This window comes from Homo sapiens, chromosome 1, assembly GCF_000001405.40.
Source record: "Homo sapiens chromosome 1, GRCh38.p14 Primary Assembly".
Classification (NCBI taxonomy): Eukaryota; Metazoa; Chordata; class Mammalia; order Primates; family Hominidae; genus Homo; species Homo sapiens.
In genome coordinates this window covers 100827879-100844095 of record NC_000001.11, presented here as the reverse complement: position 1 = coordinate 100844095, position 16217 = coordinate 100827879, and the positions used below count along the sequence as shown (strand labels likewise).

Here is a 16217-nt window from a genome sequence, read left to right as displayed (position 1 = left end):
CCAAGGTTGAAATGAAGGAAAAAATGTTAAGGGCAGCCAAACAGAAAGGTTGGAATACCCACAAAGGGAAGCCCATTAGACTAACAGCGGATCTCTCTGCAGAAACCCTACAAGCCAGAGGCGAGTGGGGGCCGATATTCAACATTCTTAAAGAAAAGAATTTTCAACCCAGAATTTCATATCCAGCCAAATTAAGCTTCATAAGCGAAGGAGAAATAAAATCCTTTATAGATAAGCAAATGCTGAGAGATTTTGTCACCACCAGGCCTGCCTTACAAGAGTTACTGGAGGAAGCACTACATATGGAAAGGAACAACCAGTACCAGCCATGGCAAAAACATACCAAATTGTAAAGACCATCAACGCTACAAAGAAACAGCTTCAACCAATGGGCAAAATAACCAGCTAGCATAATAAAGACTAGATAAAATTCACACATAACAACATTAACCTTAAATGTAAATGGGCTAAATGCCCCAATTAAAAGAAACAGACTGGCAAATTGGATAAAGAGTCAAGACCCATCGGTGTGCTGTATTCAGGAGACTCATCTCATGTGCAAAGACACACATAGGCTCAAAATAAAGGGATGGAGGAACACTTACCAAGCAAAGGGAAAGCAAAAAAAAAAAAAAAAAAAAAAAAAAGCAGGGGTTGCAATCCTAGTCTCTGATAAAACAGACTTTAAACCAAAAAGATCAAAAAAGACAAAGAAGGGCATTGCATAATGGTAAACGGATCGATGCAATCTGAAGAGCTAACTATCCCAAATATATATGCACCCAATACAGGGGCACCCAGCTTCATAAAGCAAGTTTTTAGAGACCTACAAAGAGACTTAGACTCCCACACAATAATATTGGGAGACTTCAACACCCCACTGTCAATATTAGACAGATCAATGAGACAGAAAATGAACAAGGATATTCAGGACTTTGAACTCAGCTCTGGACCAAGCAGACCTAATAGACATCTACAGAACTCTCCACCCCAAATCAACAGAATATGCATGCTTCTCAGCACCACATAGCACTTATTCTAAAATTGACCACATAATTGAAAGTAAAACACTCCTCAGCATATGCAAAAGAATGGAAATGATAAGAAACAGTCTCTCAGACCACAGTGCAATCAAATTAGAATTCAGGAATAACAAACTCACTCAAAACTGCACAACTACATGGAAACTGAACAACCTGCTCCTGAATGTCTACTGGGTAAATAACAAAATTAAGGCAGAAATAAATAAGTTATTTGAAACCAATGAGAACAAAGACACAATGTACCAGAATCTCTGGGACACAGCTAAAACAGTGTTTAGAGGGAAATTTATAGCACTAAATGTCCACAGGAGAAAGCAGGAAAGATATAAAATCAACACCCTAACAACACAATTAAAAGAACTAGAGAAGCAAGAGCAAACAAATTCAAAAGCTAGCAGAAGACAAGAAATAACTAAGATCAGAGGAGAGCTGAAGGAGATAGAAACAGAAAAAAACCCTTTAAAAAAATCAGTGAATCCAGGATTTGGTTTTTTGAAAAGATCAACAAAAGAGATAGTCTGATGGCCAGACTACTAAAGAAGAAAAGACAGAAGAATCAAATAGACACAGTAAAAAATGATAAAGTGGATATCACCACTGATCCCACAGAAAAACAAACTACCATCAGAGAATACTATAAACACCTCTTCACATATAAACTAGAAAATCTAGAAGAAATTGATAAATTCCTGGACACATACACCTTCTCAAGACTAAACAAGGGAGATGTCGAATCCCCAAACAGACCAAGTTATAAAATTGAGGCAGTAATTAAAAGCCTACCAACCAAGAAAAGCCTAGTACCAGACAGATTCACAGCCGAATTCCACCAGAGGTACAAAGAGGAGCTGGTACCATTCCTTCTGAAACTATTCCAAACAATAGAAAAAGAGAGACTCCACCCTAACTCATTTTATGAGGCCAGCATCATCCTGATACCAAACTCTTTCAGAGACACAACAAAAAAAGAAAAATTCAGGCCAATATCCCTGATGAATATTGATGCGAAAATCCTCAATAAAATACTGGCAAACCATATCCAGCAGCACATTAAAAAGTTTATCCACCACGATCAAGTTGGCTTCCTCCCTGGGATGCAAGGTTGGTTCAACATATGCAAATCAATAAACATAATCCATCACATAAAGAGAACCAATGACAAAAAGCACACGATTATCTCAATAGATGCAGAAAACGCCTTCAATAATATTCAACACCCATTCATGCTAAAAACTCTCAATAAACTAGGCATTGACAGAACGTATCTCAAAATAATAAGTGCTATTTATGACAAACCCACAGCCAATATCATACTGAATGGGCAAAAACTGGAAGCATTCCCTTTGAAAACCGCCACAAGATAAGGATGCCCTCTCTCACCACTCCTATTCAACATAGTATTGGAAGTTCTGGATAGGGTAATCAGGCAACAGAAAGAAATCAAGGGTATTCAAATAGGAAGAGAGGAAGTTAAATTGTCTCTGTTTGCAGATGACATGATTGTATATTTAGAAAACCCCATTGTCTCAGCCCAAAATCTCCTTAAGCTGATAAGCAACTTCAGCAAAGTCTCAGGATACAAAATCAATGTGCAAAAAGCACAAGCATTCCTATACACCAATAATAGACACAGAGCCAAATCATGAGTGAACTCCCATTCACAACTGCTACAAAGAGAATAAAATACCTAGGAATACAACTTGCAAGGGATGCGAAGGACCTCTTCAAGTAGAACTACAAACCTCTGCTCAAGGAAATGAGAGAGGACACAAACAAATGGAACAACATTCCATGCTCATGGATAGTAAGAATCAATATCATGAAAATGGCCATACTACCCAAAGTAATTTACAGATTCAATGCTATTCCCATCAAGCTACCACTGACTTTCTTCACAGAATTAGAAAAAACTACTTTAAATTTCATATGGAACCAAAAAAGAGCTCATATAGCCAAGACAATCCTAAGTAAAAAGAACAAAGCTGGAAGCATTACATTACCTGACTTCAAACTATACCTCAAGGCTACAGTAACCAAAACAGCATGGTACTGGTACCAAAACAGATATGTAGACCAATGGAACAAAACAGAGTCCTCAGAAATAACACCACATATCCACAACCATCTGATCATTGACAAACCTGATGAAAACAAGCAATGGGGAAAGGAAAGGATTCCTTATTAATAAATGGTGTGGAGAAAACTGGCTAGCCATATGCAGAAAACTGAAACTGGACCCCTTCCTTACACCTTATACAAAAATTAACTCAAGATGGATTAAAGACTTAAACATAAGACCTAAAACCATAAAAACCCTAGAAGAAAACCTAGGCAATACCATTCAGGACATAGGCATGGGCAAAGACTTTAAGACTAAAACACCAAAAGCAATTGTAACAAAACCCAAAATTGACAAATGGGATCTAATTAAACTAAAGAGCTTCTGCACGGCAAAAGAAACTATCATCAGAGTAAACAGGCAACCTACAGAATCGGAAAAAATTTTGCAATCTATCCTGACAAAGGGCTAATATCCAGAATCTACAAGGAACTTAAACAAATTTACAAGAAAAAACCAAACAACCCCATCAAAAAGTGGGCAAAAGTTGTGAACAGACACTTCTCAAAAGAAGACATTTATGTGGTGAACAAACATATAAAAAACACTCATCATCATGGGTCATTAGAGAAATGCAAATCAAAACCACAATAAGATACCATCTCACACCGGTTAGAATGGCAATCATTAAAAGGTCAGGAAACAACAGATGCTGGAGAAGATGTAGAGAAATAAGAACACTTTTACACTGTTGGTGGGAGTGTATGTTAGTTCAACCATTGTGGAAGAGAGTGTGGCAATTCCTCAAGGATCTACAATCAGAAATACCATTTGACCCAGGAATCCCATTGCTGGGTATATACCCAAAGGATTATAAATCATTCTACTATAAAGACACATGCACACATATGTTTATTGCAGCACTATTCACAATAGCAAGGACTTGGAACCAACTCAAATGCCCATCAATAATAAACTGGATAAAGAAAATGTGACACATATACACTATGGAATACTATGCAGCCATAAAAAATAATGAGTTCATGTCCTTTGCAGGGACATGGATGAAGCTGGAAACCATCATTCTCAGTAAACTAACACAGGAACTGAAACCAAAGACTACATGTACTCACTCATAAGTGGGAGGTGAACAATGAGAACACATGGACACAAGGAGGAGAACATCACACAGTGGGGCCTGTCAGGGGGTAGGGAGCAAGGGGAGGGATAACATTAGGAGAAATACCTAATGTAGATAACGGGTTAATGAGTGCAACAAACCACCAGCCATAAAAAAGAATGAACTCGTGTCCTTTGCAGGTACAAAGGACATTGAACTTTCCATTGAAAATAAAACATTATTATTTACAGTAAAAAAAAAAAAAGACAATATTAAAACAATACTGTGGCTTTACACCGATAGTCTAACCAGCATCAATTATTTAAGGTGAAATCCCGGTAACAAATATAAATATAAATTGAGCCTCTAATGGTTCTGCTTCTCTTATTGATCTCAGACTGATACAAGTTTTGGGCAAGTTTTTGTAGGTGTCCCATGCCTCAGGGCATCAGAAAAGCCCCAGGCAAGGTAGAAAGTGAGAGGCACATAGGGAGAGACTGTCAGTTTGCTCCTGGATGAAACTGACCAAAGCAGGTATTAGTTAGGTAGCCGCAGCAGTGGCTGGAATAAGAAGTGAGGCTGAAAGGATTTTAAGTAGTGTGCAAGAGATATCCAATAAGCATTCTATAATAAAAGTATGTATAGGGTACTAGGGAAATGCCTAATTCAATTAAGGTAGGGATTTCACAGAAAAGATTCACAGTTCTGTGACCCAGCAGAATAGTGTCCTCAAATAAATGTCATCACACTTGTTAATGTAATTGTAAACTTCTCTTTATATTACTAAAGGTCATCACCTTCATTTTTTAATTATTTCAGATTTCAATTGAATATCCATATTTGGTAAGGAGGCTGATGCTTTTGTTGCTGTAAAATCATGCAGTGTATTGACATGAAGTTGGAATTTCAATGTACCTATTTTGGTAGTGTGAAACACCAAGTTCATAAAATTATAGTCTTCTACTCCCCCAAAGGGTTAATCTTGCCTGCTTCCTAGAAAAACCAGTGCACTGAGAACAGCAGGTTTTTGCAATAGAGAAAAAATTTAATAATCGCAGTCTCAGCCAAGTGAAAGGACAGGAGTTTATTATTACTCAAATCAGCCTCCATGAAAATTTGGAAGCTAGGATTTTTTAAGGATAGTTTGGGGGACAGAGGCTAGGGAATGGGGAATGCTGATTGGTTGGGTTGGGGAGAAATCATAGGGAGTCAAAACTTGTCTTCTTGTTCTGAGTCTGTTCCTGGGTGGGGGCCACAAGACCAGATGAGCCAGTTTACTGGTATGGATGGTGCTAGCTGGTCCATCTGATTGCAGGGTCTGAAAAATACCTCAAACACAAGTCTTAGGTTTTACAATAGTGATGTTATTTACAGGAGCAATTGGAGAGGTTAGGAATCTTGTGGCCTCTGGCTACATCACTCCTGAGCCATAATTTCTAATCTTATGACTAATTTGTTAGTTTTACAAAGGTGGTCTTGTCCCCAAACAAGGAAGAAGTTTGTTTTGGGAAGGGGCTCTTATCCTTTTCTCAAAGTTAAACAATAAAGTAAATTCCTCCCATAGTTAGCATGGCCTTCAGCCAGGGATGAAGGGCAGCTTGGAGATTAGAAGCAAGATGGAGTCAGTGGAGTCAGTTTGGTCAGATTTCTTTCCCTGTCATAATTTTCCTATGTCAAATTTTTCTCATTGTCATAATTTTTGCAAAGGAGATTTCATCATGAGACCTTCTGAAGTATTTAAAACTAAGATTTTTTTCTTTAGGGAGATGGGAGATTACTAGCATTTCTCTTATAAACATAGGTTTCAACAATTTATTTTATAGAACTTCCCTTTCTTTCTTAACTTACATTTAGCAACAGAAGGAGATTTTTGTAGCTGTAACGAAATGATGAGGAAAAAAGTAGACTGAGCTTAGTATATATCAATGGTATGTGCACAATGTTAGCAAAATTCTTGCTTACATTTTGCCTAAATATAAATATTTTTGACATAAATCAAAGCCTATTATAAGGAGCTATTTTTATACTAATAAATAGAAACTACCATGTAATCAGATCTTTCATTAACTAGCTTTGTGCCTGCCATAGAGATGGGATGTTTGTGTCCTCCCCAAATTCATATGTTGAAATCCTAATCCACAAGGTGATGGTATTGGAAGGTGGGGCCTTTGGAAGGTAATGAGGTCCTGAGAATGGAGCCACATGAATAGAATTACTACCCATATAAAAGAGACCTCAGGGAGCTCCCTTGCTCTTTTTGCCATGTGAAGACACATCAAGAAGACAGTAGTCTGTGGATCAGGAAGTAAACCCTTAGATATTGAATCTGCAGGTGCCTTGATATTGGACTCCCCAACTTTCAGAATTGTAAGAAATAAATGTTTGTCATTTAGGTCGCTCTGTCTGTGGTATTTTTATAGTACTATGAACGGACTAAGGCAGTATCATTGGGTACATAATGTAAACTCTTTGGGCCTCAGCATATATATATGTGTGTGTGTGTGTGTGTATGTGTGTGTGTGTGTGTATAGAAAGAGAGACGTAAATATAAATTTATATAAATATAAATGTTTTAGTTAAATAGGTTTTCTCCCAGTTCAAAAATTCAATCATTGGCCAGGCGCAGTGGCTCACGCCTATAATCCCAGCACTTTGGGAGGCCGAGGTAGGTGGATCACTTGAGGTTAGGCATTCGAGACCAGCCTGGCCAACATGGTGAAACCCCATCTCTACTAAAAATACAGAAATTAGCTGGGCTTGGTGGTGCACACCTGTAATCCCAGGTACTTGGGTGGCTGAGGCATAAGAATCATGTGAACCCAGAAGGCGGAGGTTGCAGTGAGCTGAGATCATCCCACTGCACTCCAGTGTGGGTGACAGAGTGAGATTCTGTCTCAAAAAAATATATATTATTATTATTATTTAGGCTTTCATTTTGCAATAAAATTTCCAATTAGTAAAGAAGCCCAGGAAAATCAGAAAAAGTAACATTATATCAATTATTTTTGTTACTGAGTTTCAAGTCCCACTGGAATTAATAATTTGATTTAATAACAGTTTATAAATGGGGTTGTTTTTTCTCTTAACAGGAAAAAGTAACACCCAAATGCTTATTATACTAAGACCTATTGTGTTTAGATTTTTATCGCTTAAAAGCGGCAGAAAGCGTTCCCTTTAGTATTGTCTAAAGGAAATGAAACAATTCACTTTTAATAGCAATACATCAGCTAAGTGAAATTTTGACACACATACTCCCCATGAAGAGTACCTTGAAAGAAAGATCAAAACCTTTTAAAAACTTCGTAGCACCAAAATTCCCATTTTCCTTGGGAACTTCCCATGATTCATGAGATTCCAAAAGTGTAAAGATTCAGATCTGTTGAAAACTGAAGGAAAATTCATTAACAATTGTGTTTATCAATATTTTAAAAGAACAAAGCTTAACATTTTAGTGAGTGAGGGAGGCCGGATGTGAGACATTCTGAAACCATCTTCTGTGACCTGATTCCCATTAGATATAAAAATAAATCCAACCCAGTGGCCAGGAAGACTGCGCTGCTCTGCATAAAACTGAAAGCTAATCAAACTCTCTGATAATAATGAATCAAAGGATGAAAAATAGAGAAGTCTGGAAGAAGAGAGAAAGGAACTTCTTTTAAATCTTAGAAACAAGAAAAAAGAACTTACCATATAAGCTGCGGTGACTACCTTTCCCACCAGCAGCACCACTCGTTGTGGGACCTGTTTCCCAGTGCTCCGCTAGGTGCTGTACACACACATGAGAGTATAGCTCAGTTTGAGGCTAAGTGCATCCACATAAGCAATTCAGGCATGTCTGAACAGATTTGGGCAAATCCATTCTTATGAAGGTGCTGAGGAGATCCTCCTGGAAAATAACTCACCTTAAGGGCAGAAAAAGTAAGACATCAATGTGCCTAACCCAATATGAAAGCCTTAGTCATCAGAAGAGAGGGCAACTTCTGAGTCTACTCAGTCTTCAATAATACTGGGTCACTTGGAATTGTCTCCTGCTCATGGGCCCTGTCTCAGTCAGGGAGAGAGAGCAAGCAATAAAAGGGCATTTCCACTAAAACTCAGTAAGGTATTGGCAACAGCAACACTACTTTGGTAGTCTTTGAATTCAGTGTAACATAAAAAAGGGAAAAGAGGCATGCTCCCTTTTTATCACAACCCAACAAATAGTTTTGGCACGTATTCATCCGCTCTCATATTGCTACAGAGAACTATCTGAGCCTGGGTAATTTATAAAGGGAAGAGGTTTAATTGGCTCACGGTTCCACAGGCTGTACAGGAAGCATGGCTGGGGTGGGGGGAAGCTCAGGAAACTTACAATCATGGCAGAAGGCAGAGGGGAAGCTGGCAAGTCCTACATGGCTGGAGCAAGAGAAAGAGACAGAGCAAAGGGGGAAGTGCCACACACTGCCAAACAACTAGATCTTGTGAGAACCCACTATCACAAGAACAGCAAGGGGGAAATCTGCCCCCATGATTTAATCACCTCCCACTAGATCAACACTGGGGATTACAATTCAACATGAGATTTGGGTGGAGACACAAAGCCAAACCATATCAGGAGACACAAAGCCAAACCATATCAGGCATCTTGAGGGAGACAGTGAAAATGCATGTGCCCAGTAGGTGATGATAGCCCCCTGGTGGTTAGGTAGCAGATATTTCAGAAGTAGCAGTGGGATCTCCTGGATTTCCCCCGTTAACTGACGATATATTCATTGGCATTTACAGAAATTCACTATTACTTCTAGAAAGTCTTTAGGCAGTGAGATGAATGTATTAGTCAAGAGAAGTTAGGTTGTCATAAAAAACACATTGCTTCTACTTACAACTCAATAATCAGAAGCCTCATGGCCCTGCCGAACTGCGACTTGGCAAGTGGATGTGGAGGAGCAGATGGCACTCTTGCTAAGCATTGCTGTCTCAGCCCCAAGAAGTATGGAGGCTGTAAGCAAGGGATAGGAGGAGGAGCTGCTAAAATGTATTCTTAATTTTACTGCATTCATTCTCACATACTGATGATACCAGGGAAGATAGTCAATTACATACATAAGTCTTTTATTTAATCCTCATGGCAGTCAGAGAAAACAGAGAAGTTAAGTAACTTGCCAGAAGTTACACAGCTGTTCAGGTCTCCTGGACTCCAAAGCTATTTGCTTTTTATTATTCCATGTTTGCAAAAAAAAATTATATGCCTTAAAATAGCCTCAAACATTCACTGAGTTCCTACTCTGTTATTATCTCAGTTTTCTTCACAGCAACCCAGTAAGATGAGATTGCTATTATCCTCAACAGGATCACAGAGGGTTAAGTAACTTGATCAAAGTTACTGCAAGCAGAAAAGATATAATGTGAGCCCAGATCTTCTCCCTTCAACTGACTGGAATTTGAAATCCAATCAATTCCCAGCCTATTCACAGTCTGATGCTTTTTCCACCTCCTTAATTGGTGATGAAGATACTTCAATTATTCCTATTATCAATGTCATAAATCATAGGCCATAAACTATGGTTAGTTCAGTAACTGCTACTCTGGAGGAAAATAGCTTCTTTCTAACAGAAACCTTTATTTTTCATTTGAGTAAGTCATTGAACATTTCCAAAGCATAGACTTCTTTGGCCTTCACAAATAAAACAAAGATAATGGGTACATTAATTCTACTAAATACACATCAAGTACTTAAGAGAGATGCTTAACTCTAACTCCTAGGATGTTTTTGAAACAGAATCTGTAAAGAAAAAGACAATGTCAATTGACATAGTTGAGAAGAGAGGCAGGTGAAATGCTGTCAGGAAAGTTTAAAGGAAATTAATGAAGACTAAGAACAATTTTTATTTAATGTAAAGGGGAATGCATGTCATAAAAATGATAGGAAAACAAGCCATATAGTAAGACTTTATTAGGGCATAGGTACACAGAACCAAACCAGGGAAGATAAGAGTGTATTGTGCTAAAGAAAGACAACAGAGTTGTTGGGATATTCACTAAGTTACAAGTTATCTGCCATATGCAAAATCTAGCCCATTTGCAGTTAAGGTTTGGGACTTGTCTCATACAGATTAAACATTGTTTATCTGCAAATAGATTGATTTCTTTATCTGGGCTTTAAACTATATAAATTTGTTAAAAATAACCTTTATAACAGGACATATTTGCAAGATGGCTCAGAATAATTACTCTATCTTCAAATTATTGTGAAAACAAGGGGTGTTAGATTTATTTTCACCAGTTTCCTTAAAAGGCAAATCACTGGCTCAAGTCAGAGAAAGCATCAAAATGGCTACATTTAAATTGAAAGTTGATACAGAAGGGTCTACAACAGGGTCTCAACTCTGACTGCTCATTAGAATTGCCTGAGGAACTGTCAATAAACATTGCTGCCTGGGCCTGCGGACAAAAATTCTAATTAAAGATGGGGAGTTGAGGGCGCAGTACAAGGGCTGGTGACAAGCAATTATATTTTTAAAATTCTTCCCGGATAGTCTGATGTCTGATCTGTAGCCTTCCACCATCAGTAGTGTATGAAAGTACATCTCTTTGACTAATCAGTCAACCCATTAAAAAAAAGACCACAAAGCAAAAACCCTAACTCTTGAAAGATTAGCCATGTCATGCTATGACCAATGTTAGTTATTAGTGTTACATTTTTACTTTGGTATAGTTTAATTATTAGTGTATTCTTAACAAATGCATATCATCAGTGACAAGTCATATTTTTAATGAGTTATCATTACAAGTTAGTGTTAAACTTCTCACCTTGATGAACATAATAAAAATTTTGTGCACATTTTATTGTGAAATCTAAAGCTTTATCTTTAGCAATTCTCTCTGTTCAAACTTCTGAGCCCCATTCTTGTGTGTGGTGTGATGGTGCTCGGCATGTCTACTGTCTTTGTTCTTATATTCATCTATTCCTTTGTAATATGGTAATTAGTTTTAAGATGAAAGCTAATCCCGACTGTGAGAGTGCTGAGCTATTGTTACTGCTGGCTAATGTATCACTAGAAGACCACGCACAGTAAAACAGAAAAAAAGGTTTTTCTTGTGTTCTCCATTGGTTTATTATTAGGAGTAGGGGAACAATGTACAAAATTTATCTCTAAGGCATAAATGAGAGTAGCGATGGAAAAAAAAGCAAAACATATTGAGATGAGAAACAGTGAGTTTTCAGAGGGCTATCAATAAGTTTAAGTCATTTCCTGTACTGGAAGAGCAGAAGTTCAGCATCCAAACCCAGATCCACTGGTGGAGGGGGAGTCTTTGGGGTTTTATATCTCTGCTGAAAGGGCAAGCAAAATAATGTGTGTGTGTATGTGCAGTTTTCAGGAGAGCAATACCTGTTACCTTTGCCAAAGGCTTATGAGTGAGGTATCTACAAATTGATATGAAGGAAACCTATCTCTTCATATCTTCTCTTTCTTAGCAGTAACCAATACTGAGTCTTTTTCAACTAATCTTTTAGGGGTTCTTTGCTGGAATAATCTATAATACTTGGTGTATTTCTTCATTATGTCCTTACAATAATTCCTAATCAATATACAAGTATTGGAATCAGGCTTGCTTCTTCTGTATAGAAGGCTGCTAGCATCAGGGTCTTAATTTCATGAATGGCAGTTGCTGTGGCTTCTCTTCCTTTTCTGCTAATACTACCTCTCATAACATTGTTTTAATCTTCTTATTCTGAACTTTTGCTTGACTGGTAGGTGGACCAGCTAGCTGGGTGTTACAGAGGTTTAGCACCTACTCAGACCCATGCTTATCTCTCTTGCTGTACAGATGAACAGGTTAGCATCCTCTGAAAGGACAGTATCTCAGCTCTCCTGAGAGAGTGGGAGAGGTAAAAGAGAGGGTCCCCATAACATTTTTTCTTAACTTTGAGTCAGGTTTATGCATTCATCCATGGCTCTACTCTCATGATCATTCCAGTGCTATTAGAATGCATTGCATTTTTAAAAATCTGATAAATCTAGCAGTAGAAATGGGCCTATCTTGCTCTTTACTAATAATGAGTGCTCAAGGCCAGACTGGTTACACAGAGAACCTTGACATCTAAAGCATGCCGTAGGCTTCAGCCCCACTCCATTAGGAGCCTGATGCCATCATCCATGCTTATAATAATTGCTCATAGTTATTGAAACATACTGCATATCAGGCATGTAACTTGTATTATTTCATTTACTCTCCACAACAATTCTCCTAGGTAGGTCCAATGATTATTTACATATCATAAAACAAAGGTTTATTGTAATCACATAAATCGTACAAAATCAAACAGCTAGTAGGTGATTGAGCTGGGATTTACACAGTTTAAATCTGTTTCTGACTCTAAGGCCTCTATGTTAAACTATATTAACTCCAACGGTTTCTGGAAAAATCCAGAGCATCCAAAGTACGTAGAGTCGGAGTTGGGGAAATGATAGTCACTATGAGTTTGCCTCCTTGAAATATAGTTATATATTACTCATAGGTATTTAAAATTACTTACTTATAGCAAGAACAACGAAAGTACTAAGTTTTGATGTGAGCTTAGACAACATCAAAAACAACAAACAAAATCTTTATTACTACAGACCTTGAAAATACCTAGATATTTTCTACAGAATATCCACAATTCTTTATTTGCTCATCAAAATTTACAGTGACTTTTCTTCAAGTAATAACTTGATAAATTTTTAAAGTTTAATTATTCGTCATTTAATTATTAATATCAGTGAATGTTTAGAAAATATTACATGTCTACATTTGAGTAACTCTATTTTAACACTGATGATTAACATTTATGGCATGTTGCATGTGTATGTTCACTGCAGCACTATTCACAATAGCAAAGACATGGAATCAAGCCAAATGCCCATCAATGATAGACTGGATAAAGGAAATGTGGTTCATATACACATGGAATACTATGTGGCCATAAAAAGGAATGAGATCATGTCCTTTGCAGAAACATGGATGGAGCAAGAGGCCATTATCCTCAGCAAACTAGCACAGGAACAGAAAACCAAATACCACATGTTCTCACTTATAAATGGGAGCTGAACAATGAGAACACATGGTTACAGGGAGGGTAACAACACACACTAGGGCCTGTCAGCAGCAGGGAGGGGTGCATAGCGGGGAAAGCATCAGATTAAATAGCTAATGATTGCTAGGCTTAATATCTAGGTGATGGGTTGATAGGTGAAGCAAACCACTATGGCACACGGTTTACCTGTGTAACAAACCTGCACATCCCGCACATGTATCCTGGAACTTAAAAACTTTTATGGCATGTTTTAGAAACATGAAATAGTCTGATGGGGATCATTTTAGAATATGTAAAAGGGAATAGTTGGAGACACGTTGGGAAGTTTGGCTGGAATTATACTGTAAAGGGCTTGCTTATATGCCATTTATTTTTTAAGTTAAGAAGTATCACAAAAAATGTTAGCCAGAGGAGCAACATTGTTTTATAATAAGAAAGTATACATAGACTTGAAAATTCAATGTACGAATGTTAGAAATAAGCTATTTTTCTATTGTATTCATGTGTATCTCTAACATTTTTTCCTTGTTACTTATTTTAGAGAACAAGCTCATTTAGTATAGAGACCATATGAGTGGTTGTAAGTAGTTAAATCAAAAGGAGAGGGTCATCTTATCAAACTGCTAAAGAGGACAGGAATATCCAGCCGAGGACCCTTTCTCTCTAACTCTGGGCTCTGCTTCTCTGTAAAGATCAGGCTTTATTCTCTCAAACCAGGGGACTCTATGGGTTGGAATTATGGCCTCTGGCATAATACAATGTGACAGCAAACACCAAAGCAATAGACCTTGGTAGTTTTTTTAAAAAAATGATAAAATGGGAGAGACCAGTTTTCAATCTGGCATGTAAGGAGCTTGTAAGTGATCACTACATGCTCACAGGTTAAAAGCTGAACAGACTAAAAAATCTTCAGCTCTTCTTGGGTTTGTCACAGAAGTGAGGTCGTGGGGAAAATTGCTGCCCCCAAAACAAGAAAGGCAGACAAACACAGAGAATCCCAAACACCAGAGCAGAAACCCATGAGCAGAAATCTCTGTGGGAATCACTGCAGGGGTTGGAAAACGATAACTATAATTGACGAATTGCTGGAAGCTCAGTGTGGACAAGTCTGGGAGTTACAAATGCCAGAGGGCCCTGTCCCGGGGTGTAGGTTGTCCCCACACTTTTGTAAGTTTTGTCTCCAGGAGCTCAACCAGGTTCTTACAGCCAATAATGGAGAAAAGTCCCCTCATGCTTCTGACAAAGGGAGAGGAAAGGTAACCATGTAAAACATGCCAGAGCTTTCTGTTCTTAACAAGGCCAGCCCTTCAGATAAAATATTTTACCTGTGCCTAAACTACTGGATTTTTTCAAAGTCTCACTGACATGAGGAAAGAAAATGCTCAACCCCAGCCTCTGCTATCTTTCAATGTGGAGAAAGAAAATACCCAATTCCAGTCCACTTTATCCATCCTGTCACACCTAAGTGTGTGCATGTGGGTGGGGGAGACAGAGAAATACTTGTGAACTGCACAGTCCAGAGGCATTTGGTCACTAAAAGGCTGAGACCTAATCATAGGACTGTAACACATTTCCCTTCCCTCACATCACACACCGCATTACTAAAGACCTATATCCAGCAGCTCCTTTTACCCAGTACTCAAGAAAAAATTACAAGGCATACTAAAAAGCAAAAACAAACCAACAAAAAAACAACAACATGGTCAGAAGAGACAAAGCAAGCATCAGAATAACACTTAGATATGGTTGGGATGTTGGAATTATTAGATCTACAATTTAAAACAACTTTGATTAAGATACTAAGGGCTCTAAAAGATAAAGTAGACAGTATGCAAAAATAGATGAGCAATGTAAGCAAAGAGATGAAAATTCTAAAAAAGCAAAACAAAGAAAAGAGATGCTAGGAATAAAAAACACTCTAGCAGAAATAAAGAATGCCTTTGATGGGCTCATTAGTAGCCTGGAAACTGCTGAGGAAAGAATATCTGAGATTGAGGATGTCAATAGAAACTTGCAAAATGGAAAGGCAAAGAGAAAAAAATGGCTGAAAAAAATGGAACAGAATATACAAAAACTGTGGGACAACAAAAAGTGTTACATGTGCATAACAGGAATATTACTAGGAGAAAAAAGAAAGGAAGAGGAGAAATATTTGAAGCCATAATGACCGTGAATCATAATGACTGTGAAATTTGGACAAATCACAGATCCAGGAAACTCAGAGAACACCAAATAGGATAAATACCAGAAAACAGCACTTAGGCATATCAAACTACAGTTTGAATATTTTCTAATATTCAAAGGTATTTCTAATATTCAAGGAAATCAAAGAAAATATTTTGAAAGGATCCAGAGAGAAAAAAAAATCTTACCTATAGAGAAACAAAGGTAAGAATTACATCTGACTTCTCAGAAATCATGCAAGGAAGAAGAGAATGAAGTGAAATATTTAAAGCGTTGAGAGAAAAAAAAAACCCACCAACCTAGAATTTTGTACCCTGTGGAATTATCCTTCAGAAGTAAAGAAGAAATACTTTCTCAGATAAAAATTGAAGAAATTTGTTTCCAGTAGACCTGCCTTGCATGAAATGTTAAAAGAAATTCTTCAGAGAGAAAGGCAATTATGCAAGTCAAAAACTTGGCTTTACATAAAGGAAGAGCATAAGAAAAAGAGTAAGTAAGGGTAAAAAAAACCTTTTATTTTCTTATTTTTAAGTAATTTAACAGATAACTGATCCAATAATAGCAACAAAGTTTTTAATTATGTTTCCTTATATATCATATGTATTATTCATGCATATATATTATATACACTTAAGTAATGTTTAAAATTAACGACAGCAATGATACAAGGGACAGGATTGAGATATTAGTATTATTTTGTTATTCCAAGTTATTTGCATTACCTATGAAGAGATACAGTTATTTGAAAATGGA

The 16217-nt window shown here is 37.4% G+C and overlaps 1 annotated feature.

Annotated features, from left to right (window-relative positions):
• Positions 7318-8517: an enhancer, noted in NCBI's record as "MED14-independent group 3 enhancer chr1:101301135-101302334 (GRCh37/hg19 assembly coordinates)". NCBI's record gives its function as "activates an origin of replication core promoter dependent on BRD2, BRD4, P300/CBP and CDK7 cofactors, and independent of MED14, by STARR-seq in HCT116 cells {active_cell/tissue: HCT116}" and the evidence as "EXISTENCE:reporter gene assay evidence [ECO:0000049][PMID:35650434]".